The 24,054-nt window shown below is 55.2% G+C and overlaps 2 protein-coding genes across 10 annotated transcripts in view, besides 3 other annotated features; both read right to left on the bottom strand.

Annotated features, from left to right (window-relative positions):
• HPN (hepsin) overlaps positions 1–13,988 on the bottom strand; it is a 26,068-nt gene extending 12,080 nt beyond the window's left edge. Inside the window, exons 1-5 of one of the 7 annotated variants that reach the window (NM_002151.5) lie at positions 13,949–13,988; positions 12,622–12,772; positions 11,972–12,041; positions 5,103–5,204; positions 4,978–5,019 (exon numbers count right to left, since the gene is read on the bottom strand). In NM_002151.5, coding sequence (NP_002142.1) covers positions 4,978–5,019; positions 5,103–5,204; positions 11,972–11,987 — 160 coding nt within the window. In that variant the 5' untranslated portion in view covers positions 11,988–12,041; positions 12,622–12,772; positions 13,949–13,988. Of the gene's footprint in view, positions 1–3,972; positions 4,049–4,977; positions 5,020–5,102; positions 5,232–11,971; positions 12,774–13,948 lie in introns of those variants that run through there. The other 6 variants (NM_182983.5, XM_017026731.2, NM_001375441.3 and 3 more) reach the window with 6 other exon arrangements.
• Positions 13,302–14,141: an enhancer, noted in NCBI's record as "H3K27ac-H3K4me1 hESC enhancer chr19:35531257-35532096 (GRCh37/hg19 assembly coordinates)". NCBI's record gives its function as "activates a minimal SCP1, AML or CMV promoter by ChIP-STARR-seq in naive H9 embryonic stem cells {active_cell/tissue: H9 hESC(naive)}" and the evidence as "EXISTENCE:reporter gene assay evidence [ECO:0000049][PMID:30033119]".
• On the bottom strand, positions 14,045–24,024 carry SCN1B (sodium voltage-gated channel beta subunit 1). Of its 3 annotated transcripts, none has more exons than NM_001037.5 (6): positions 23,634–24,024; positions 21,800–21,966; positions 20,755–20,995; positions 15,236–15,377; positions 14,788–14,859; positions 14,045–14,697 (listed from the first exon to the last, which is right to left on the bottom strand). In NM_001037.5, exons 1-5 carry the CDS (start codon positions 23,671–23,673, stop codon positions 14,793–14,795), a joined length of 657 nt encoding a protein of 218 aa, NP_001028.1. In that variant the 5' UTR covers positions 23,674–24,024; the 3' UTR covers positions 14,045–14,697; positions 14,788–14,792. The 3 variants fall into 3 exon arrangements, with proteins under 3 accessions (NP_001028.1, NP_001308534.1, NP_950238.1); NM_001321605.2 differs by lacking the exon at positions 23,634–24,024 and adding an exon at positions 22,714–23,223; NM_199037.5 differs by lacking the exons at positions 14,045–14,697; positions 14,788–14,859; positions 15,236–15,377 and having other exon boundaries at positions 16,774–20,995.
• Positions 23,447–23,555: a silencer, noted in NCBI's record as "fragment chr19:35521843-35521951 (GRCh37/hg19 assembly coordinates)". NCBI's record gives its function as "represses an EF-1alpha promoter that drives an FKBP-Casp9 reporter gene in an ReSE screen in HepG2 liver carcinoma cells {active_cell/tissue: HepG2}" and the evidence as "EXISTENCE:reporter gene assay evidence [ECO:0000049][PMID:32094911]".
• Positions 23,895–24,054: a silencer, noted in NCBI's record as "silent region_10514". NCBI's record gives its function as "represses an Ori minimal core promoter by ATAC-STARR-seq in GM12878 lymphoblastoid cells {active_cell/tissue: GM12878}" and the evidence as "EXISTENCE:reporter gene assay evidence [ECO:0000049][PMID:35858748]".

Raw genomic sequence — 24,054 nt, 5'->3', positions numbered from 1 at the left:
TCCTATCCAAGTGGCTCTCTGAATCCCACAACCATCCTCGGAGATAGTGACCACTTCGGTTTTTTTTTTTTTTTTTGAGACATAATCTTGCTCTGTTGCTCAGGCTGGAGTGCAGTGGCATGATCTCGGCTCACTGCAACCTCTGCCTCCCAGGTTCAAGCGATCCTCCTGCCTCAGCCTCCCGAGTAGCTGGGATTACAGGCACATGCTACTACACCTGGCTAACTTTTGTGTTCTTAGTAGAAACAGCGTTTCACCATGTTGGCCAGGCTGGTCTCAAACTTCTGGCCTCAGGTGATCCACCTGCCTTGGCCTCCCCAAGTGCTGGGATTACAGGCGTGAGCCACTGTGCCCAGCCAGTAGTGACCACTTCTATGCCCATCTTACAGATGGGAAAACTAAGCCTCAGAGGAATAAACTTGCCCAGAGGCACACGGCTAACCAGCAAAACCGGGACTTGAACCCAGACCAGCATATTCCCTGTTCCTTCTGTGGGTCTCATACAAACCCTTGCCTGTCTCCCTGCCTAATATATTCAGCTACGGCTGGCACTGAAAAGCCACCTGGCTGGCCTGCCTTAATGATGGCCTCCTGCTCTGGGGTTGGGGCAGGGAACGCCTGGCACCTCTGGCTGTGGGGTCCTCATCACCCCATGAATTCCAAGGCCAAGTCTCAGGGTTTGAAACACCAACTGGGGCGGGGAGGGGGGCGGATTCTTATTTTATTTTATTCTATTTTAAGTTTGTTTTGAGATGGAGTCTTGCTCTGTCTCCCAGGCTAGAGTGCAGTGGCACGATCTCAGCTCACTGCAACCTCTGCCTCCTGAGTTCAAGCGATTCTCATGCCTCAGCCTCCCAAATAGCTGGGATTACAGGCACCAGCCACCACGCCCGGCTAATTTTTGTATTTTTAGTAGAGATGGGGTTTTGCCATGTTGGCCAGGCTGGTCTCCTGACCTCAAGTGATCTGCCCATTTGGGCCTCCCAAAGTGCTGGGATTACAGGCGTGAGCCACCGCACCGGCCTGGCCTGCCTTAATTACGGTCTCCTGCTCTGGGGTTGGGGCAGGGAATGCCTGGCACCTCTAGCTGGGGGGTCCTCATCACCCCATGAAAGCCAAGGCTTGGAGTTTGAAACACCAGCTGGGGCAGGAAGAGGGGTGGATTCTTATTTTAAAATGACTGTTAACTGCTCTGGAAATGTGATTTCCAGAAAGTGTGAGGTTTTAGGGGGGAAAATCACTTTATAGATGTGTGTTGGGGGAGATGGGAGTGGGGAGAGAACATCAAATGTCCCCTCTGGCTATTTTTAAAGTCACACTCTCTGCTGCTGTTTCTCACTTTTAAATTCTTTATTCTTGTTCCTATCATTTCAGGCAACACAAAAAGGATGTTCTGGGTCACCTGGTGTGCCTGCCAAGTTGTTGGATATATTTAGAAGTGTGAAAATCCCAGGAAAAAAAAAGCGAGGTGGGGATACAAGCTTGGGGTTGTTTTTGTTTGTTTGTTTGTTTCATCATTTCCCTGAGTTGTTGAAAAACCCAAATACCTCTGCAGGGTGGCGGCGTGGTGCTGGCCAGAGCCGGGTGTGAGTGGTGGCCTCGCTCCTTTCCAGCTGGAGGCCCATGACTCTCTAGTTCATCCCAGTGTTTTGGCTTTGGGTGCACTCATAACTCAAGGATTTCCTGAGAACCTACTATGTGCCAGGCACCGTCTGACCACAAAAGGTCCCTGCCTTCCTGGAGTTCGCCAGGAGTAAATAATTCACAATGAGTGAGGAGGGTTTTACCGGGGTGGCAGGGACACACCATAGGGTGAGAGGCCATAGAGTCTGGAAGTCCAGGAAGATCTTGCTCAAGAAATTTCAAGAAAGAATTTCAGGAGTGAGATACAAAAGCCAATGTCCACTGTGCTGGCTAAGAGGCAAGTACTGCACAGCCTTTTTTTTTTTTTTTTTTTTTGAGACAGACTCTTGCTCTGTCACCCAGGCTGGAGTGCAGTGGCGTGATCTCAGTTCACTGCAACCTGCAACCCGCGCCTCCCAGGTTCAAACAGTTCTCCTGCCTCAGCCTCCTGAGTAGCTGGGATTACAGGCGCCCGCCACCACGCCTGGCCAATTTTTGTGTTTTTAGTACAGATGAGGTTTCACCACGTTGGCCAGGCTGGTCTCGAACTCCTGACCTCAGGTGATCTGCCTGCCTCGGCCTCCCAAAGTGCTGGGATTACAGGGGTGAGCCACCGCACCCCGCCCAAGTACTACACAGATTTTTATCTCCTCTTATTCCCACTGATTCTTCTTACCCCCATCTCACAGATGAGGAAATTGAGTCTTGGAGAGAGTAGGGACTGGTGGGAGGCCCCACAGCTCAGAAGGAACTGTGCAGAACTGAAATCTGCCTCTGGGTGTGAGCTAGAAAGAAGTGGGTGAGTAGAGACTTCTGTGTGAGCAGGTCATTTGAGCAAGGGACTGGGCCCTGAGGGTGCTAGAAGCCAGTGTGAGGTGGGGGTGGAGAGGGGCCTCCACACTAGGAGGCTTGGAGCCTGTGATGGGTTGGGATTTTATCTCAATGCCACGTGTTGTCACGGAGGGGCTTTTGACAGGGGCGTGATCCCTTCGCTCTGTCTCTGATGTGTGGTCAGCCTCGGGCAAGTCAGTTTGCTTCACTGGGACTCAATTTCCCCCAAATGCAAAATGTTGGGATGTAACAGCCCTAACTTCATAGGCCTGCTGGGTAAAGGCTGCCGCCAGGGCCTGGCATATGTCAGTCTTTACTATGGCAATGAATTCAGCTGTTCTTTTTTTTTTTTTTTAACAAGCAATCAAGTGTAGACACTATATACAGTTACTACGCAGGCTGCCTGGGTTCAAATCCCAGCCCTGACACTGACTAGCTCCATGACCTGGGGCAAGTCACTCAGCCTTTCTGTGCCTCAGCATCCCCATAGGAAAATGGGTTGTGGTGGTGCACACCTGTAATCCCTGCACTTTGGGAGGCTGATCTGAGAGGACTGCTTTGAGCTCAGGAGTTCAAGATCAGACTGGGCAATGTAGCAAGATCCCATCTCTACTAAAAATTTAAAAAATGAGGTTGGGTGTGGTGGCTCATGCCTGTAGTCCCAGCACTTTGGGAGGCCGAGACGGGTGGATCACCTGAGGTCAGGAGTTTGAGACCATCCTGGCCAACATGGTGAAACCCCGCCTCTACTAAAAATACAAAAATTAGCTGGGTGTGGTGGCACGTGCCTGTAGTCCTAGCTACTCAGGAGGCTGAGGCAGGAGAATCACTTGAACCTGGGAGATGGAGATTGCAGTGAGCCAAGATCGCGCCACAGCACTCCTGCCTGGGCGACACAGCGAGACTCTGGCTCAAAAAGATAAAAATAACAATAATTTGTTATTGACAAAATAATTTTGTGTAGGCATGGTGGCATTAGCCTATAGTCCCAGCTACTCAGAAGGCTGAGATGGGAGGATTGCTTGAGCCCAGGAGATGTAGGTTACAATGAGCTAAGATCGTGTCACTGCACTCCAGCCTGGGCGACAGAGCAAGACCCCATCTCAAAAAAAAAAAAAAAAAAAAGAAAGAAAGAAAGAAAGAAAAAAAAAAGAAAAGAAAAACAACAGGTTGTTGGGAAGACTTAATGAGTTGATATCATAAGGTCCCAAGGCCTTGGCTGGTGCATACAAATGCTAAGTGCTGGTAATGATGATTAATGTTGATGTTGGCTTTTCTTGTCTGGATTTTCATTTCTGATTTTAGTGTGAACTGAATCCTTTATGGAATTAGATGAGGCTCACAGACATGAAAAATACATCCCACCACCCAACTTCCCCTTTTTTCCTGCTGTCCTGCATCAGGGAATGGCAGCTTGAAGTTGGCATTTGGGAAGATTCATTCATTCATCCCACAGTTAGTTTCTTTATCTATTTATTTGTGTGGCCATTCATTCCACATGCCTGCAGACACACTTACAGTGGATAAGTCTAAGAGCTGTTCCTGGCCCCTCGTTCCCCAGCTGCATGTCCTCTCTGGTCCTCATTTTGCACATCTGTAAAATGGAGCTAATTACCAGGGACAGGCGCAGTGGCTCATGCCTGTAATCCCAGCACTTTGGGAGGCCGAGGCGGGTGGATCACAAGGTCAGGAGATAGAGACCGTCCTGGCCAACATGGTGAAATCTCATCTCTACTAAAAATACAAAAAATTAACTGGGCATGGTGGCACACGCCTGTATTCCCAGGTACTTGGGAGGCTGAAGCAGGAGAATCGCTTGAACCTGGGAGGCAGAGGTTGCGGTGAGCTGAGACTGCACCATTGCACTCTAGCCTGGGTGACAGAGCAAGACTTTTTTCTTTTTTAAAACAAACAAACAAAAAAACTACCTCCTAGGAGAGTTAGAAGGGTCCACTGAATTTATATCATGCCTCCCCAACATGTTTTCACCATGCCACGCAGTAAGAAACACATTTTTACATCCTGATGTAGCCCATAGCTCTGTAGTCTGGGGCAAACTGCTGCATTGCTCAAAGCCTCAGTTTCCCCATCTGTAAAACAGGGAGAATAACAGTCCCACCCTCAGAGTGTGGGGATGCAGTGGGATTACATGTATATGGATGCAAAAAAAAAAAAAAACAAACAAAAATTAGCATAACCTTTACTTACTGAGAGATGTACTGTGATAGTCTGTAATCGAATCTATTTCATACTTAAAAAAAAAACATGGTTTTCCAACTCACTAATTTAATTTTATGAGGCACTCATGAGTAATACACTGGTGTCTGAAAAAGTCTGGGTTAGACATGTGGGGTGCTTAGAATAGTGCCTGGTACATAGCAGGCACTCAATACAAATGCACTATTATGATTAGCATTTCTGCATGCATTTGTGCATTTATTCAACAAATACGCTTGTTGAGCTCCCGCCAGATACACGTGTCCTCCAGGGCTCCCCCAGAGGGTCCCAGCCTGCTCCACTCACCTGGGTACAGCGGCTCCTGGTCACTCCTGAGGAGAACAGCCACTGCAGAGAAGGGAGGGGTGAGGGCAGGCAGGCTGGAGGCTGCAGGGGCCAGGGGAGGTCAGAGGCACAGGAACCGCTCTCACCAATGGCCCAGGATGCCGCCCCGATGGCTGTCAGAAGTAGCAGGGTCCCCGCAGTGAGAGCTGCCACCTTGGGTCTGGAGCAGCATGGCACAGTCCGGCCACCTGCAACAGACACCATGCTGGGGCCACAGCCAGGCCTGTCCTCATTGCGGCAGGGTCTGGGCCCGAGGCCAGCTCTGCCCTGCCCCCAGGGCTAACTTATTATGCCCAAGCATGTCCTCCCCAGGCCCAGTTTCCCGGGGCCAGCAGTTGACAGGGCTGTTCCTCCCCTGCCGTGTGAACAACCAGGTGCCCAGCTCCCCCAGGGTTCCAGCTGGGAGGGGGGCATGGCCGGGCCACCTGCCACGGTCTCCACCTCCGCCCTGCACTTTCCTGGCACTTAGGGAATGTCTCCTCCCCAGTGACACTGTGCTTTTGTATTTCTGTCTTTGCTTTGGGCCATCTCTTCTTGGGACTGTGACCCCCAACCTTTGCCCTCTTGGTAGCTCTCTTCCCTGCCGCTGGCATTTCCTCGCTGCCTCAGTCGTTTCTGCTGTTCTAGATGCTTTGCCCCTAGATACCCCCTAAATCAGACCTCTCTCATGGTACCCAGTTGCAAGATCAAATTTGCCCCTCCACTTGAAAATCTGCCAGCCTCATTTTATTTTATGTATTAATTTTTTTAGCGACGTGGTCTTGCTATGTTGCCCAGGCTGGTCTCAAACTCCTGGGCTGAAGCGATCTTCCTTCCTCAGCCTCCCAAAATGCTGAGATTACAGGAGTGAGCCACTGCGTCTGGCCAGCCTCATTTAAAAATATTGACCCTACCCCTTCCTAGCTGGAACCTAAGGCAGGTGCCATCATATCTTTGAGCCTCAACTTTCTTATCTATTAAATGGGCATCCACTGAGCACCTACTTCTAAAAATAATAATTTAAAGTTATTTTCAAGAAGAAGAAGAATAGCTCAAATTGTATTGATGCCTCCAGGTGCTAAGCACCGTTCTAAATACATCAGCTCATTTAGTCCTTATTTCAATCCCACAACTATGATTCCTGTTTTTGAGATAGCTCAGAGAAGTGGGGTCACGTGCCCACAGTGACAGCCTGGAAGAGGCAGAGCAGCGTCCAGAACCCTGGGCAGGTTTGATGCCAGGTCCCCTGTGTACAGCCACGAAGCCATCCTGGCTCTCACTGTGCGGAAGTGCCTGGCACATAGCAAGTTCTCTATAAATGCTTTATAAATCATCAGAGATGTGTGGGCCTGAGCAACTCCCCTCCCCTCTCTGAGCCTCAGCCTCAGTTTTTTTCTTTTCCTTCCTTCCTTCCTTTTCTTTCTTTCTTTCTTTCTTTCTTTCTTTCTTTCTTTCTTTCTTTCTTTCTTTTTCTCTCTCTCTCTCTTTCTTTTTCTTTTTTTTTTTTTTGAGACAGGGTTTCACTGTGCTGCCCAGGCTGGAGTGCAGCGGCGCGATCATGGCACACTGCAGTCTCAAGCGCTCAGGCTCAGGTAATTCTGAGCCTCCCGAGTAGCTGGGATTATAGGCGCACACCACCACACATGGCTAATTTTTGTATTTTTTGTATTGACGGGGTTTGCCATGTTGACCAGGCTGGTCGTGAACTCCCAGACTCAAGTTATCTGCTTGTCTCAGCCTCCCAAACAAAGTGTTGGAATTGCAGGCGTGAGCCACCGCGCCTGACCCTCAGTTTTTTCATCAGCCTAAAGAAGCTTTATTTGTTTACCATCCTACTGAACATCCGCTGTGTGCCTGGCACCTTTCTAGGTTCCGGGAACATAACCCAAAGAAGACAGATAAGGTTACGACTCTCAGGGGTTCACGTTCTCATGCGTGTAGGTGGGGAGTGGGAGACATTAACAAGGAAACAAGTAAATGAACCCAATAATTTCCAGATTGTGGCAGAGGCTGTGAAGAAAACCGTGCAGGCTGGGGCAGCAGGTGGGCTTCTGCAGGGGATCAGGGATCACAGGGCCTCCCCTAGAGGAGACTTCTGAGCTAAGCTCTGAAAGGTGAGGTGCCAGCCACACACAGACCACAAGGAAGGGCACTGTGGGCAGAGGGAACAGCACAGGCAAAGGCCTTGAGGCAAGAATAAGCAGGCTCTCTTATGTCAGAGGCTGGAGAGGCCATCGAGATGGCCAGATGGCCAGAGCTTGGGGAAGGTAGTGGGAACCAAGGCTGGGGCCAGCTGGGGAGGCCTGGTGGCACAGGAAAAGGGATTTTATTCCCAGGGCAAAGAGGTCCTGGAGATTAAAAGCCAACTCCTAGCCGGGCTCGGTGGCTCACGCCTGTAATCCCAGCACTTTGGGAGGCCGAGGTGGGCAGATCACGAGGTCAGGAGATCGAGACCATCCTGGCTAACACGGTGAAACCCCGTCTCTACTAAGAATACAAAAAATTAGCCGGGCGCAGTGGCAGGCACCTGTAATCCCAGCTACTCGGGAGGCTGAGGCAGGAGAATGGCTTGAACCCGGGAGGCAGAGCTTGCAGTGAGCCGAGATCGCGCCACTGCACTTCAGCTTGGGCGACAGAGCGAGACTCTGTCTCAAAAAATAAATAAATAAATAAATACATAAATAAATAAAAGCCAACCCCTTCACTAGGGATTATAAGAAGGCCAAAGAGTAAAGGCTGCTGAAAGCCTTCAGCTGGGCCTGGCTTGGGTTCAACTGCCCTTGGCAGCCGCAAAGCACCCCAAGGTGGCAGGAGCTCCCAGCTCGCCCATCTGCACCCATGGTGATGTGGCTGGTGAACCCGGCACCAGGCCAGCACCTGGAACAGAGCAGGGAGTGGTCTAGGACCTTCCTGGTGTGGCCATTATCTGGGTGTCTTAAGAATTTGAGAGCTCAGGCTGGGCATGGTGGCTCATGCCTGTAATCCCGGTCCTTTGGGAGGCTGAGGCAGGTGGATCACTTGAGGTCAGGAGCTCAAGACCAGCCTGGCCAACATGGTGAAACCCCGCCTCTACTAAAAATACAAAAATTAGCTGGGTGTGGTGGCGGGCGCCTATAGTCCCAGCTACTCGGGAAGCTGAGGCAGGAGAATCGCTTGAACCCGGGAGGTGGAGGTTGCAGTGAATCAAGATTGCGCCACTGTACTCTAGCCTGGGCAACAGAGCGAGACTCTGTATTAAAAAAAAAAAAAAATTGAAAGCTCAGTGGCTCCCATCAAGGCATGAGGAAACACTCTCTTCCCCAAAAGAGGCCCCAGTGGGCCAGACCAGCCCAACTACTGCCGGCTGACCCCTGCCTGTCCTGCGAGGGGTTCTCAGGCCTGCCCCCCAACTCTGCCCAGGACCACTCTCCAGGTTCCAGCAGGAGGTCTTGGCTCCCGACAGCCACTGGGCTGGTCTTGCTTGCTTTGTTTTCAGCTGTGCCTGCCAGGGCTCTAGGCCATGCAGAATGCAGCCTAGAGGCCTTGGCACATCTGGTGGGACAGGAAGCAATGCCACTATGTATGTGTCTCCTAGGGTGAGAGGAAGAACCTCCTTCCATGCTGTGTGGTTCAGAGGACTTCAGCGCCTCCAGTGGGACAGGAAGCATCTGCATCCTGGGGTTCCCCCAGTATGAGAGGCATCCTCCCTGCATGTCTCTACTGGGACAGGCAGCATCCTCATCTGGCCCACGGTGTGGGACGCATCCTCATCCTCCCTGCGTGTCTCTACTGGGACAGGCAGCATCCTCATCTGGCCCAGGGTGTGGGACGCATCCTCATCCTCCCTGCGTGTCTCTACTGGGACAGGCGGCACGTCAACATCAATTCTTTGATCCCAGCAGCAGGGCTATTTCCCTTGGTAAGCCAGACCTCCCCCACCCCTACATCTCCCTGAGACTCTCTGCCCCTGCTTCTCCAGGCCCCTCTGGATGCCTTGGGTCTTCTCATAGGTCAGTTCTTCCGCCTCCACCATTTGGCTGCAAAGACCCCCACGCGTAACACCTTTGGCTCTCTGGCTCTGAAAATCCACTCAACTGGTGGCTCCGTGTCTCGGGCCTCATCTTACATGACTGCAGCTTCCTGTATAAATGCTCTCCTCTTTGGACTTCTGGGACACCAGGCGCACCTGATTTTCCTTCCCGCCTCTGAGGCTGCTGTCTTCACCCACCCTCTACCTACTCCGTAAAATCCAGAGTTTGTAGGGCTGGCCGCAGCCTCCCCCTGCTCCTCCTTGCCCCTAAGTCTGTCTCACCCACCTCTGTGGACTCAGTTTCCCCTCTGTCCCCAGCCCTAGACCCTCTTCCAGGTCCCAGGTCAGGGCTCCTGCAGTCCTTTAAATACCTTTTAAATACCTTTCCCTGGGACCTCCTAGTCCCTTTGCCCCTACCAGGTCCCAGAATGTCTCCCCAATGTCTCCCCAAGTATATTCTTCCTCCCGGTCCTGTCTCAGAGGCCCTCACTCCTAGGACCATCCCCATCTGCATAACATTCCCCTCCCCCGACAGCCTGCCAATCCTCCTGAGTGACTCTCCTTCCCCCGTTTCCTTCTTTCTCTCCATCTGCACCTTGCTCCGGCCCCATCCAACCGCTGGGCTCAGTCTCCCTTCTAGCGCACCCTCCACACGGAGGCTTGGGGAACCTACTGAGACACCAAATCCAACCTGTCCCCTCTTTACCTATAGAACCCTCTGTGACTCCCTAGTACCCCCCAGACAGCTTAAGTCCCTCAGCCTGGCATTTCCAGCCCCACTAGGGTATAAGCATGGCTTTCAGAGATTTGGGAGTATGTTTCCCCCAATTCTCAGACAACCATGTGGGTCACTATCAGGTACCAGAGAGAGCTTCCAAAAAGCAACCCAAACAGTAGAACTTGTAAAATACAAGTTAGACAAGAGAAGCAGGGACTAACCACTGGCGCCACCTTGTGGAGAGACCTGGTACTGCAAGGAATTGGCCAGCTCTTCCCCAAAACAGTCCCACCCCTGCCTGGTCCAGCTTGCACACCTCTTCTCCCACCCAGCTCAACTTCCAGCTTCACCTCCAGAAATACCACAATTGGCTACGTGCACACCAGTGCTGTGTCACCTCCCAGCTTCCCAGAGAAGAGCAAGAGCCTTGCTCTTCCCTCTGCCTGGCATCCTTGGAATTGCAACTCCAGTATCACCTCCTCCAATTCCAAGTTTCCAGGCAGCACCAAGAAGCCAGCAGCAATAACAGTGACACCAACAACAGCAGCCGCTGCAGCCACAACGGCTCTCTGAATCACACACGGACGCACCGCCCTACCCTAACCCCGTCCAGTCCTGCACAGCATCCTTACTTAAATCCTTGCAGCTGTTCACGAGGAAGGCGCCATTGCCATCACCCCCAGTTTACAGATGAGAAAAGGAGGCCCAAAGTCCGGCAGCCACCAAACCCGGGTCACCCGGCAAGTAAGTGCAGAATCGGAACCCTTCAGCATCTGTGTCCAGGTTCGACCTCCACACCCCTAGCCCTGACAGCAGGACTCCCCTCCAAGACCAGCCCGGAGCTGCCAGGGAGGCACCAGAGCCCACTTTGTGTCTGTTTCTCTTTGTACCCAGGCCATCTCTGTCCATTCGGGCATTTTCTGCTTTTCTTCCCTGGCTCATTCACCCATGGGCCCAAGCCCTGGGGCTGTCCTTCCGGCAGCTCCAGGAAAGAGATTGTCCCCAAGGAGCTGGATTCTGTCATCCACCTGCTCGGCTAGGGTGCAATGCCTTCTCCTGAGTAACTGGGAGCCTGGGTTCCCTCTGGACTGCAGCTGATTGGTTTGGGGTCTGAATTGCCAGCTGTGCCGAGACCCGAGGAGGCCAGAGATCTGAACTAATCATTTCAGCCAACACGCTCAGTGCTTCCTGCCCATCCTGGCATTTCAGGCCTCGCCCCACGCTGTTGGACATGCACTGTCACCCTCTCCATTTCACAGATGAGAGAATGGAGGCCCAGGGAGAACACGCCGTCTGCCCAGGGCCACACAGCTAGAAAGTGCTACTGCCCAGGACTGAGCCCGGCTATCCTGGTTGCGGAAGAAGAGAGGGAGTCAGCCCCAGCTAGGGGAAGGCAGAAAGAACAGGACGCCCCTCCATGCGCCCCTCCAGCTGGGTCCCATGTGTGAGAGGTAGAAAGGAAGCCAGGCTAGCTGGGGGCTGCCCAGAGACTCCCAAGGGCCAGCAACTCCATGACGCAGTCTCTCTCTCTCATCCTTATGGTGGTTTCTCTGCCGTCTCTCCCCTCTCCATCCATCCAGGCCCAGTCCAAAGTCCTCCCTCTGCTCTTTTGCCCACAGAGCCAGGAGGTGGAGGAATGTCTGGGATCGGTGGGGGTCCTGGGTCTCTGGGACTCCGAGTTTGCCAACCTCTGTCATGACAGCTCTGCTTGATGGCATGCGTCTTATATGCAGAGCCCCAGACCAGTGCCTGGTGTGTGTCATGCACTCAGCAACCTCACAGAGGGAGGACTGGTATCCATGCTTGACCCAGAGGGAGACCAAAGCCCTAAGAATAATGTCACTTGCACCAGATCACACAGCAAAAAAGATGGCAAGAGCAAATTCAAATGCAAGCCTGTGTGTTTCACTCCAAATCTGTGTCCTTAACCATGACAGCTACAGCTTCCCCGCCTCAGCCCCAGCAGAGGACAAGTCCAGAGTTAGCTGAGAAATCACTGGGGGATGAGGGGAAACTGAGGCAGCACGCCAGGAAGGTCACATAGGGTAGAAGGGAGGCTGGTGGTGGCACAGCTGCACAGAAAATGTGGTTAATAGTTAATCAGGTGGAGGAGGACTAACAGGGGTGGGGATGCATCTGGGAGGGGTGCCCAGAGAGAGGGGGCTCCGAAGAGTAGAGGGTAGAGAAAAGAGCACAGAGGGCGGGGCGCCAGGCAGAGCCAAAGCTGGGGCTCAGGGAAGGGGACTCACCCTCCTTCTGCGCCATGTCACTGCCTCTTGTTAATGATTCCCTGGCTGACCTCCTGGGCCAGGGTGGGACCTGTGAGGAGATGGACGGGGAGGCAGGGCCTGGGGGAGCCCAGCCCAGCCCAGTCCTGGCGCCCCCAGTCCCAGGCGTCCATCCAGGCAGGCTGTAGGGACTGGGCCTTGGCCAGAGCACGCCGTGATCACGGACGCAGATTGGGCTGGGTTCAAGGATGGGGTCAGTGTCTGACCAGCAGCGGGGGGACGCCTGGATTTGCAGGGATGGGGACCCCCATGCCTGAGCCTGGTGGAGCAGGGGACTGAGGATCCCGGTTTGAGGGAGGAGACAGCTGAGGACCTGAAATCATAAGTCTTGGGAAAGGAGGAATTTGGGGGCCAGGACTCCCTAGTATGAGGGAGGAGGGGCCTGAGGGCTGGAACTCCTGGGTCTGGGGAGGAAAGGACTGGGGTCCAACGGCTGAGTCTGAAGGAAGAGCAGGACAGAACACCTAGGTGCTTGGGGGGACGTCATAGTGCCCCCTCTTCAGGTCCCCAGGAACCCCTCTATTAGGAGGTGGGCATTAGGCTGGGTGGGGGGATGAGGGAACCCCTGTCCTCAGGGCTGGAACTGTGAGTCTGGGGGCCCTTGTCCTTACCCTGGGGTCCAGCAGGTGGGGGCGGAGCCTCGAGGTAGTGCCGGGGTCGGGTCAGTCTCCAGGCCTGGGCAGGAGCATGGTGGCCCCGCAGCAGCGGGCGGCCTGGAGGCAGAGGCGGTGGCGTGGGGCCTGCTAGGCCAGGCTGCCTCACCTGAGGAGGAGGGGGCTGGGCGAGGGGCGGGTGAAGGGGCGGGGAGGGGCCGGACCATTCGATTGGCAGCACTGGAGGCCACCTGGCTGATGGGGCCGGGCTTGTGGGGGCTGGACCAGGCGGGCCCAGCTACGGGGCTTGCCTTGGACCTCCAGGGGGACCCAGGTGTGCCTGTCTGCGGGGATGTGGGAACAGGGACAGGCCTGGCCGGAGGCTGGGGGTTTAGGGAGAAAGTGCAGGCTGAAGGGTGGGGGTCTGACCAGAAGAGATCAGATGGAGGGCCCCAGCTGCCCTAAGCCCACTCCACCCTCACCCAGCGAACCCTTCCCCCCGCCCTTTCTGCGTCCTCCAGCCCCAGGTCCTGGCTGTGCCCGCCACTTGCTGCACCTCTGCCTAATTCCCTGCCCAATTCCTGGGCCCCAACCCCAGCCCCAGCCTCTCCCGCCTGCCCTGCTCATCCTGCCCCGGCCCCTCCCCCGCTGGCTTCCTACAAGTCACGGGGCTGGTTTGCTTTGGCAGCCTCCGCCCGGCCGCGGTGACCTCTGGAGCCAGAAAGTCCTAGCACTAGATAGGGGGGATGGGGGGCTTGGCCGGGAAAACACAGCGCTAAGGGCAGAGGCCCAGGCCAAGTGGCCGGAAGCGTCCGCAGGCAGATAACACACTGTCCCGCCAGCAGCCAGGCGCGGCCCACGTCAGACCCAGGGCCAGGTAAACACCAGACGTGCAGGGTCACCGCCAGACACCTGCCCGTGCTCAACCACACGCCGGACACAGTCGGCCTCGGCTGCTTGCCCCAGATAGGCCACCCGCACAACCGGCCCCACCCGCTTACCCACACGTGCCCGCTGTGCCCAGCCAAACCCACCTCCACCGCACCCATTTCCTCCACTCAGCCCAGGGCCCCTCATTGGGACACGCTGGTTTAGCCTGGCTTCCTCTGCCTTTCCATCCATACCCGTCTCTCCTTCCCTCTCCTTCTCCCCAGCGCCCACCTCTCCAGAGACTCACACTGCTGGGCACACCACACACCCCATGCCACCCCTGCACCCCAGCATCAGCCTCGATTCTCTTCCCTCCACGGCACCCCCTCCCTTCCTGGCTCCGTTCCACTCTCCCTCACCCCTGAGCCCATGGCTCCCCCAACCCCGACACAGATCAGGCACTAAGTGGCTTCACCTGTGGGCCCTCAGGTAGGGTCCCTGGAAAGCGGGCTCGAAGATTCGGGGACGGGAATGGGGGGAAGGTGACGGGGCTCACAATCGAAACTATGCATCAAGTCCAAGAGTCTTTATTTCATGAACAAAACTACTTCTGTAAAGAGACGAGGCTGAATGGGCCCCTTTCTAGGTGGCCACAGTTCAAGGCTGGTGAGAGAGGGCGAGGTTGGGCCGGGGCAGGAGTGCATTACAGGGAGGGGGGACCCCAGGTCCAGCCGGAGGAAGCGGGAGGGGAAATGATGCCGGGGAGGGGGAGTCGGAGTGGGTCCCAGAACCCCCTGCCCCAAACTGCTCCAGCCCATCATCGCGACCCCTGCCGCCAGGCAGGGAGGAGGCGGGGAGGGGCTGGCCCCAGAAGTGCGTGTCTGAAGCGGCCAATGTGTGCAAATCAGCAAGGAGGAGGGGTGCGGGGCCGCTGCCCCCACCTCACCGCCCCCCTCCCCAAACAGGCAGCAGAAGCAGGGTGGGGGCAGCGGCAGTATTGCTTTACCCATCATGCATGGCGGTGCGCGGCCGGCGGGGCAGGAGCTGGAGGAGGCGAAAGTGGGGGTGCGAGCCAAGCCCCCTGCCCCCTCCCACCCCAGTGGCTCCGTCGGCAGGACTCTGAGGCTTTCTGGGGCCCAGGAGTGGCCACCCCCACGCTGGGGGCAGGCGGTGCCTGGAGAGTCCCCATTACGGCTGGCTCTTCCTTGAGGCGGGGCCCAGGGCCTGAAGGGGAGCAAGAGAGGGGGAATTAGGGACCTGGGGGACTTCGGCCCCTCCCAATCCCCTTCCCCTCTGCCAGCCCATCCGCCTTACCAGGGCTATTCGGCCACCTGGACGCCCGTGCAGTTCTCTTTGCTTTCAGAGGTGATGGCCAGGTATTCCGAGCTGTGGGGGAAAGGCCAGGTATACAGTGACCCCATCATCAGACCGACCCAACCCCCGGGGGATGGGGGAAGGTAGCGGTCTCCACCCCAGGTACACAGGGCTCCTTAGTTAGAGAGAGAAGGAGTCTATGGGTGGACTCCTCAGGGTCTTTGAGGAATCTGGCTGGGAGCCTGGGCTCCTGAGTTGGAGGGAGGAAGGGGCTGGGTCTGACGACCCCTATCCTGTGTCTGACAGGGAGCACTCCCCTCTGGGTAGTACTGAGAGATGGCGCCCTGGGCCGCTCCGCTGCCTCCTCCCTGCCCGGGCTCCGGAGTTCCTCTCTGGCAAGTGTGACGGTGCCCTGGGTGCCCTCCCACCTCCCAGCCACCCTACTCACGCATTCTCCTGTGCAGCAGTCTCCGTGGCGGCAGCGATCTTCTTGTAGCAGTAAATCATCTCTGCCACGAGCCATATGGTCAACACCACAATGAGCACATACATCATGATCTCAGACACGATGGATGCCATGTCTCTGTTGGCTGCAGGGGCCAGGCAGGGTTAAGGGGGTAGCCCAGGCTGCATGACAGCCTGAGTGTGCTGTGAGCTTGCTGTGTGAGCTTGGATGAGTGGCTCAACCTCCCTGGGCCTGGTGTATGCACTGTGATTATTAATACCCAGCCTTGGGTAGGCCTGGTGGGGGTCACCCTCAACCTGCCTCCCTGTGTAACTCGAGGCCACATCTGTGTCATTCTGGAGGCCCTCAGCACGGTGCCTAAAAGCCGTAGCTCTGCAACCAGAAGGCTCAGGTTCAAAGGCTGGCTCTGCCACTGGCCAGCTGTGTGACCTTGCGCAAGTGACTCAATGTCTCTAGGCCTCTGTTTCTTCAATTGTAAAATGAATACCTCCTTCATCAGAGTGCTGTGAGAATTAAATATGCTTTAAAATCCTTAGAATAGTGCTTGATCTATAAATGGCACTCAGTGAAGGTTCACTTGTATTAGTATTATTATTGTTGTTATAACTGGGGCTATAAAGCCTAATGGTTAACAGCTGGGGCTCTAGGGCCAGACTGCCAGGGTTCAAATCCCGGCTCTGCCTCTTACTAGCTGTGTGACCTCAGGCAAAGGACTGCACCTCTCTGAGCCTCTGTAAAATGGAGATGGGAACACTCAGACCCTCTCACAGGGTTGCTGGAGAGGAAATGAGTTAACACCCGTAACATGCTTGGATGAGCTCGCAGCCAGCACTGCTGAAGTGTTGGCTATTTTCCGGAAACCCTACATCCTCTCTACAGCACTGGCCCTGCCGATTGCCAGCTTCTTCTCCTTGAGCCTAAATTTAAACTGTAAAGGGAACGCGTTCAGCCAGGGGACCAGAGTCAAAAGCCACTCTGGTGTCCTCGGCTGGATTTCCTAGGTGTCCATCCCACATCTCTGGCCCCCTCCTAGATGGCTGAGATCCCATTTTCCCTGCTGTCCTCAAATGGCCTCCCTCTGCTGTGAGTGGGGCACTTTCTTTGGCTCCACCCTGTGCAGATGGCACCAGTGCTTTCTGGGCCAGAGTAAGGGAGGGAGCGGGGCCGGATGCCCCCCCTGCCTGCCCTGCCCCAGCTTCCCTGCGGGAGGAGCTGAGACAGGGTTTCCCTCTCATTCCTTCCTTCCTTCATTCATTCTTTTCAACAGACTTTATTTTTTTAAGAGACAGGGTCTTGCTCTATTGCCCAGACTGGAGTGCAGTGATGCAATCATAGCCCACTGCAGCCTGGAACTCCTGAGCTCAAGCAATCCTCCTGCCTCAGCCTCCTGAGTAGCGGAGACTACAAGTGTGCACCACTAGGCCAGGTGAATTTTTTCCTTTTTTTTTTTTTTTTTTGGTAGAGATGAGGTCTCGCTGTGTTGCCCAGGCTGGTCTTGAATTCCTGGCCTCAAGAAATCTTCCCACCTCTGCCTCCCAAAGTGCTGGGGTGACAGGCATGAACCACTACACCTGGCCTCCACACACATTATTAATGTGTCTCATGTTGTGGGCGCCTGCCATCAGTCAAGCTCTGTGCTAAATTCTTTATCCAACCATCTCCTTGATGCCTCGGAAAGCCTCAAGGATGAGCACATCCTGGCTGCCCATGGTGGCTGGTCTCAGGAACCACTCTGAGCTGGATGCGCACCGGATAAAGCCCCGTCATCGGAATTCTTGCCCCCACTCCTGGAACTCAGTGCCCAAATGGATTTAGGTAACACGGCATCTCACAGGCAGCCCGCAGATCTGAAGGCCAGCCGCGACTCTGCAGGCCGGATTTCTCACCCGCCTCAGACGCTGCTGTGCCTCAAGGCATTTTCCACTCCCGTTGTGTGGATCCAAAATAGTATTACTGTCCCCATGGGTCCCCATCTGCCTTCTCCTAACACAGGTGGGCAGCCCTCAGCAGCTTCCCAGCATCTTCTCCACCTCTTCCAGGTCAGTGAAGTTCTCACCACCATGACCCGTCGCCTCCACCTATGGAAATGGCATGGCTCATTCCTCAGGGGTCATTACCAGGAGGCAATATAGGTCGATGGGCAATACTGAAATTGCAGCGAGATGGTGGATAAAAATAATAAAAAGGTCAGTGTGGTGGCTCATACGTGTCATTCCAGCACTCTGGGAGGCCAAGGTGGGTGAATCACTGGAGGCCAGGAGTGCGAGACCAGCCTGGTCTACATAGCGAAACCCTGTCTCTACTAAAAATACAAAAGAATTAGCCGGGCGTGGTGGCGCGTGCCTGTAATCCCAGCTACTTCGGAGGCTGAGGCAGGAGAATCGCTTGAACCCGGGAGGTGGATGGAGGCTGCAGTGAGCCAAGATCGTGCCACTGCACTCCAGCCTGGGTGACAGAGTGAGACTCTAACTTGAAATAATAATAATAATAATAATAATAATAATAATAGGCTGGGCATGGTAACTTACGCCTGTAATCACAGCACTTTGGGAGGCTGAGGTGGGTGGATCACCTGAGGTCAGGAGTTCGAGACCAGCCTGGCCAACATGGTAAAACCCCGTCTGTACTACAAGTACAAAAATTAGTTGGGCATGGTGGCGTGCACCTGTAATCCCACCTACTTGGGAGGCTGAGGCAGAAGAATCGCTTGAGCCCGGGAGGTGCAGTGAGCCGACATTGTACTGCTGCACTCCAGCCTGCCTGGGTGACAGAGCGAGACTCCATTGCAAAAATAATAATAATAAGGAATGGCAGGCAGTGCTAACAAATACAGTAATATTGTGGTATTGTGGGTAATGAAAAAATACAATAGCACAATGAGTCATGTTAAAAATACTGTAGTATCAGAGGTAATGATGAATATAGTATGGTATAGAATGGAATATTTTTACATGCTACAATAGGATTAATTTTTGAAATACTATAGCATAGCATGGTGGGTAATAAAAATACCCGCCATGGTGGGGAACGTTAAAAATACGCTAGTATGATGGATTATAATAAAAATACTGTAGGCCAGGCGCGGAGGCTCTCTCCTGTAATCTCGGCACTTACGGCGGCTAAGGAGGGAAGATTATTTGAGGCCAGGAGTTCAAGACCATCCTGGGCAACATAGCAAGATCCAGTCTCTACAAAAAAAAAAAAAATTGCCGGGCGTAGTGGCTCACACCTGTAGTCCCAGCTACGTGGGAGGCTCAAGCAGAAGGATCGCTGGATTTCGGGAGTTCGAGGCTGCAGTGGGCTATGATCACGCCACAGTATCCCAGCCTGGGCAACAGAGCAAGACTTGGTCTCTTTAACAAAAAACAAAAAACTGTTGTGTTTGGCAATATTATGATAGTAAAATATATTGTGTAATATAAAATATCCTATAGTGGGTAATATAAAATACTATAATATAGTGGGTAATGTTTAAAAGGCAATACTACATATGGTGGGTAAAAAACACTAGAACTGGGTGGATAGTGCAGAAAACACAAACTCTGCAGGGCCAACATAAGGAACTGCATATGATGGTAAATGCTGGTAATAGCACAGGCTGTGGGATGTAGTGTCATACAGTGGGCAATCCTAAAAAAGAGAGGCTCAGGCCAGGCGCAGTGGCTCACACCTGTAATCCCAGCACCTTGGGAGGCCAAGGCAGGTGGATCATTACCTAAGGTCAGGAGTTCGAGACCAGCCTGGCCAATGTGGGGAAACTCCATATCTACTAAAAATACAAAAATTAGCTGGGCTTGGTGGCACATGCCTGTAATCCCAGCTACTCGGGAGGCTGAAGCAGGAGAATCACTTGAACCTGGGAGGCAGAGGTTGCAGTGGGCCGAGATCACGCCATTGCACTCCAGCCTGGGCAATAATAGCAAAACTCCGTCTCAAAAAATAAAAATCTAAATTTAAAAAAAAAAAAAAAGAGGCTCTATTGGGTCACGGCGTACAGAGGACACAACACCCTGGCCAACTGCCAAACAACAAGATGGAAAGAACCTGGGTGGCTGAACAGTGCCCTGGAGCCTCCCACCCTCTCCCCATCTCACCTCTGCAGATTTGCAAGAGCAATAACACAGGTTTTGTAAAGTCCCAGTACCGCAGGCATCTTTGTCACAGCAACTCCGCAGGCGGGGCTCCATCATCCATGTCTGCGGGTGACCCCCACCCCCCAGCATCGTGACAAACACCAGAGTGGCTCAGACATGCCTGCTGAATTGCATTCTGCTACACCAATTTGACAATAAACGTAAAAATGCTAATTATAAAAAGAAACCCACAGGCTCTGGCTGATCACAGAGTACAGTGAATCATGCCAAGAACAGAAACACAGTCACCCAAGCTCCTCTGGATTCAAGTCCAGCTCCCAATCACATGACCTTGGCCACATAACCTTCCCTCCCTGAGCCTTGGTTTTCTCATCCGTAAAATGGGGATAGGAAGAGCCCCTACCCCAGAGGGTGGGGAGAGGATTCACTAAGGGACTCCGTGTAAGGCACTGAGGCCGGCACCCATCTCACAGAAAAGATGGGCAGTGCGTGTTGCCCATGAGGATGTGTGTGCCGTGGCCCTGAGAGACCTTTCTGCCACGGCTTGTAGCTGCTTCAAGGCCTGGGCTGTTTCCCCAACTCTAAGCCAGTGGCCACAGGGCGCTGGACAATTGCAATTGATGCTGAGCAGAAGATGGATCAGAGAAGGGGCGGACCTCCCTCAGAAAAGGGGTCCAGGGTGGCTGAGGCAAAATGATGAGACGTTCAAAAGCGCTGTAGGCCCTTGCTGCTCAGAGGGTGGGCCCCGCACCTGTGGCCCTTCACTGCCTCACCTGAGAGCTTTAGAAAGGACCCCTAGGCCCGCCCCAGAGGTGTTGAGTGAGACTGCAGGCCAGCGCGGCTCCCCCGGGGCAGGAGTGCAGAGGGGTGTGCGGAACTCTGCTCTAGGTGGCACGCTCTCTTGCCTCATCACCACAGAGGGCAGCAGGGCTGAGCTACTCGAACAGTAAGAACCGCCACCCTCGCCACCACCTGCAAGGCTCTGCTGGAAGCCAGGCGTGTGCCTGCAGCTGCTCAATCCTCATGAACCCCATGATGGAAGAATGGCTCAAACCACACCCCGAGAAACACATCGGATTATTATCCCGGGCAAGCCCAGGACAACCCTTTGGCTCAGAGACAGAAGGCACCTGCCAGAGGTCATACAGCACAGGTGACAGAGCTGGGTTCTGTACCCGGAGCGTCTGTGGGGGACAGGCATGCTTTGACCTCTCCGTGGGCTGGAGAGAAACAGAGGCCAGAGCTGGAGTGGGCAGGAGGGGCTGCTCCCCTCCCCCTCAGCCCGCTGCTGTGGGCGGTTGGCTGGCCAGGCACAGAGCCAGCCTGTCCTGTCCACTGCCTGCCATCTGTCCCTCCATCTGGCTCTCCGGTGGGTGACGGTAAAGGGGCAGGCAGCACCCGACTCACCTTTGTCCACTACCTCAATGTGGATCTTCTTGACGACGCTGGTGTTGTGCTCGTAGTTTTCGAAGAAGAGCAGGCGGTAGACGTGGCACTCGTAGTCGCCCGAGTGGTTGTAGGTGACATTGGTGATGAAGATAGACAGATCCTGCAGGTCTTTGGTGCCCCGGCTGCCATTCCACACCACGCGGCCCTCGAAGCGCTCATCCTCCTCCAGCTGCAACACCTCATTCTCATAGCGCAGGATCTAGGGGTAGCCAGGGAGGGGAAGGTGTCACTGCCTGGGCCTCTCTTCCCTTACCTGACCCTGATTCTGTCCCCTGCCCTGACACCCACAAACACAGATGGCACACAGATGGGCTCAGACACCTTGACCTCAGGCAGGGAGGGCACAGGGGTGGGGGGCTAGGATCACGCCTGGAGTCAACCAGACCCCGCTTTTGCCTCTAGCCAAGATGCACACGAGCACACACACGTTCCTCAGTCATCCTCCCAAGCCCCATCTGGCCTCTAGGCTATCATTCTCTGCCGTTCTTTCCCAGCCACCAGACACACTCCTCCAGCAGAGACAGGGCAGCCTGATTCCAGCAGCTGGAGACCCCAACTCTCCAGCACGTCACAGAATTTTATGGTTCCCTCACCGATATATAATGCAAAATACACACATAGTTTAAAGGAGGTTAAAAAAAACAGTTCTGTCTTCCCTCCGTAATGACTATCAGAGACATTGTTTGCTGGTGCCAAATAAGTCCACTGACATTTATTTCATGCCAACCGTGTGCCAGGTGCGTCAATGCATTCAGTCCTCACACAAACCTATGGGCTAGAGACCACCGCCACCCCGTCTTTACCGAGGAGGAAACTGACTTTCAGAGAGGCTCACTGACTTGGCCAAGGTCACCAGCTGGCCACTGGTGGAGCCAGAATCTGAATCCAGGTCAGCAATCACAGCATATTATTAAACAAATAAGCCCCCTCCCTGAGATCCAGCCCCACCGCCTCCCACTCGTGGACCCCTGCCCTCCCATGCCCGTTCCCGGCACCCGCACACCTTGACAAACTCCTCAGTGCCCTTCTGGCGGAAGGTCCACTCGGTGAAGGTCTCAGCGTTGGTCTCGCTGCGGCGCTTGCAGGAGATGCAAAGAATTTTGAAGGTCATCCCATACACGGCCTCGGTCTCCGAGTCCACCTCCACGCAGCCCCCGCAGGCTGAGGACACTGTGGGGACAGCAGGCTCAGGTCAGGCAGAGGCACCCATTGCCCTAAGCAATGCCAGACCCCTCACAAACCATCTGTTCCCCCCTCAATGATTACCAGCAGACAGGACTGGATGCTAGGCTGAGCCCTGTCACTCACTGCGTGACCTCAGCAAGTCATTCATCCCTGAGTCTCAGTTTCCCTCTCTCTTGTTGAAAGAAATGGTCCTTTGCTTCCAGCAATGGCTGGGCCCATTTTCATACATTAGGTAGGGCCTTGTACATGGGAGGCCCCATAAGTGGGACTGTCAACGTTGCCGGTAACTCAGACTTTATGCTACCCGAGTGCCCCTTCCTCAGAAAGTCCCTTGCTGGAGGAACCCAAGCATCTAGGTGGTAGAATGAGAATTCCAGCTAAGTTAGAAGTTTAAGGTGGCAGTCATTTTCACCATTAAATTGTAAAACCAGCTAGCTCCAGGAGAAATGGGTTGGGAGAAAAGGTCTGGGGGTGGGGGATTGTGGGGAGGTGGGCACTGAAACCGGGGCTGACCCACACTCAGCCCCTCTCCACAGCCCACAAGCCCCTGTGTGAGCCATCCCCTCCCCGGCCTCTCCTGCCTCCATCATCCCCTCTTCCCCAGGCTCCTCGCCTCTAGAGCTCTTCCCACCCCAACCCCATCCACTACTCAAAGCTTTCCTGAGCTCTCTCCTGCCCCAGGGCTTTTGCAGCCCACTGAATTCCAGTCTTAGAATTCCTTCACACTCTTACCTGGCACCTCCTTTCTGCCTCCCAGCACTCTGTAGCTAACGCTGTGTCTCTTCTGCTGCAGCCCTGTGCTGTCCTTGTTTCCTGATCCTCAGGACTTCTCATCCATCCGCCTCCCCTGCGGTCCCTTTCAGACTCCCTGAGGGCCTCTGTCTCAGTCCCTCCTATCTTTGTCCCTCTCAGGGGTCTCTCTGAAGGTCCCTCCACTTTTTGTCCACTCTCTGGGCTCAGAAGGAGACCTCTCCTAATCTCTTTCCACCTTTCTACGTCTATCCCTTTTCAAACTCCATGCAAGATTCTCTCCCGGTGTTCACGGGCACCCGCATCTCCCTCTCTCTTCTCTCCATCTCCTTCTGCCTTTCTCAAGTTTCCCTTTCTCCATCGCGCTCAGTCTCTTAACTCTCTCTCTCTCTCTCTCTCTCCAATACCCCTCTCTCTGTCTCCGTCTCCCCCTTGACCCCCATGTCCCCAGCATCCCAGCGGACCACTCCGGTGCGCTCCGAGTCCTTCTCTGTCTCTCGCCCCCTTCCTCCCGTCTTCATCTCTCCCTGTCCCTCCGTCTTTCCCGTCCCAGTCTCCGGGCGCCGCCTTCCCCCCACCCCCCTCCCGCGGCTGTGGGTGTCACATTGCAGCCTGCGGGGCTCCGGGAGCAGCTGACTCCGCGTTTCCTCGCCCCCGGCTGGGCGCCTGCAGCCGCCAGGCTGTGCCAGCCCGGCCCCCACCCGCTGGAGCCCACCCTCACCTCCACTGCCCTCCCCAAGCCCGGCTCCCGCGCGCACAACTTCTGAAGCTGACTTGGCGGGGCCCGGGGATGGGCCGGGGGTGGCCCTCGCGCGGCTGCCCCGTGTCCCGAGCGCCACTCCCGCCGCCCCGCCAGTGCCCCCGCGGTGCCCCCCGGCCGCGCGCGCCCCCCGCGCACTCACCCAGTGCCGCGCCGACCACTAAGGCCAGCAGCCTCCCCATGGCTGCGCGGCGCGTGCTGCGCCCCCCTCCCGGGCCGCCGGTATTAATAGCGGGGCGAGAGGCGGCGGGACCTGGCGGCGGTTAGAATGTCCCCGGGAGCGCGCGGGCGCAGCAGCTGCGGCTCTGGGACCGGCGAGGGGGGAGGAGGGGGGGCGCGGCCCCCCCGCTCCGGTTACCGCCGGGGGCCCAGCCCCGGGGCCCGGCGTCCGGGCATCCCCGCCGCGCGGGCGGCGGCCGCTGCTCGGGCTGCTGCGCTGGCGCGCGCAGCCGGGCACATCCGCTAGGTGCACCGACCCCGGTCCCGCTCCGGCTCGGGCGCGCTCGGGCGCGGACCGCGGTCTCCTGCGCACTGCAGCGGCGGCGGCGGCGGCGGCGGCGGCG

The sequence above is a fragment of the Homo sapiens genome, chromosome 19, assembly GCF_000001405.40.
Source record: "Homo sapiens chromosome 19, GRCh38.p14 Primary Assembly".
NCBI classification, from domain to species: domain Eukaryota; kingdom Metazoa; phylum Chordata; class Mammalia; order Primates; family Hominidae; genus Homo; species Homo sapiens.
The sequence above is the reverse complement of the archived record's forward strand: the minus strand, read 5'-3'. Positions and strand labels throughout refer to the sequence as shown.

Excerpts from the sequence above, each read along its gene's own strand:
- SCN1B (NM_199037.5), bottom strand. The coding sequence starts at position 23,673 with ATGGGGAGGCTGCTGGCCTTAGTGGTCGGCGCGGCACTGG. Across the intron at positions 21,967-23,633 it reads AGTGGTCGGCGCGGCACTGG|TGTCCTCAGCCTGCGGGGGC; the intron begins GTGAGTGCGCGG and ends CTGTCCCCACAG. Across the intron at positions 20,996-21,799 it reads GCACTGAGGAGTTTGTCAAG|ATCCTGCGCTATGAGAATGA; the intron begins GTGTGCGGGTGC and ends GGCTACCCCTAG.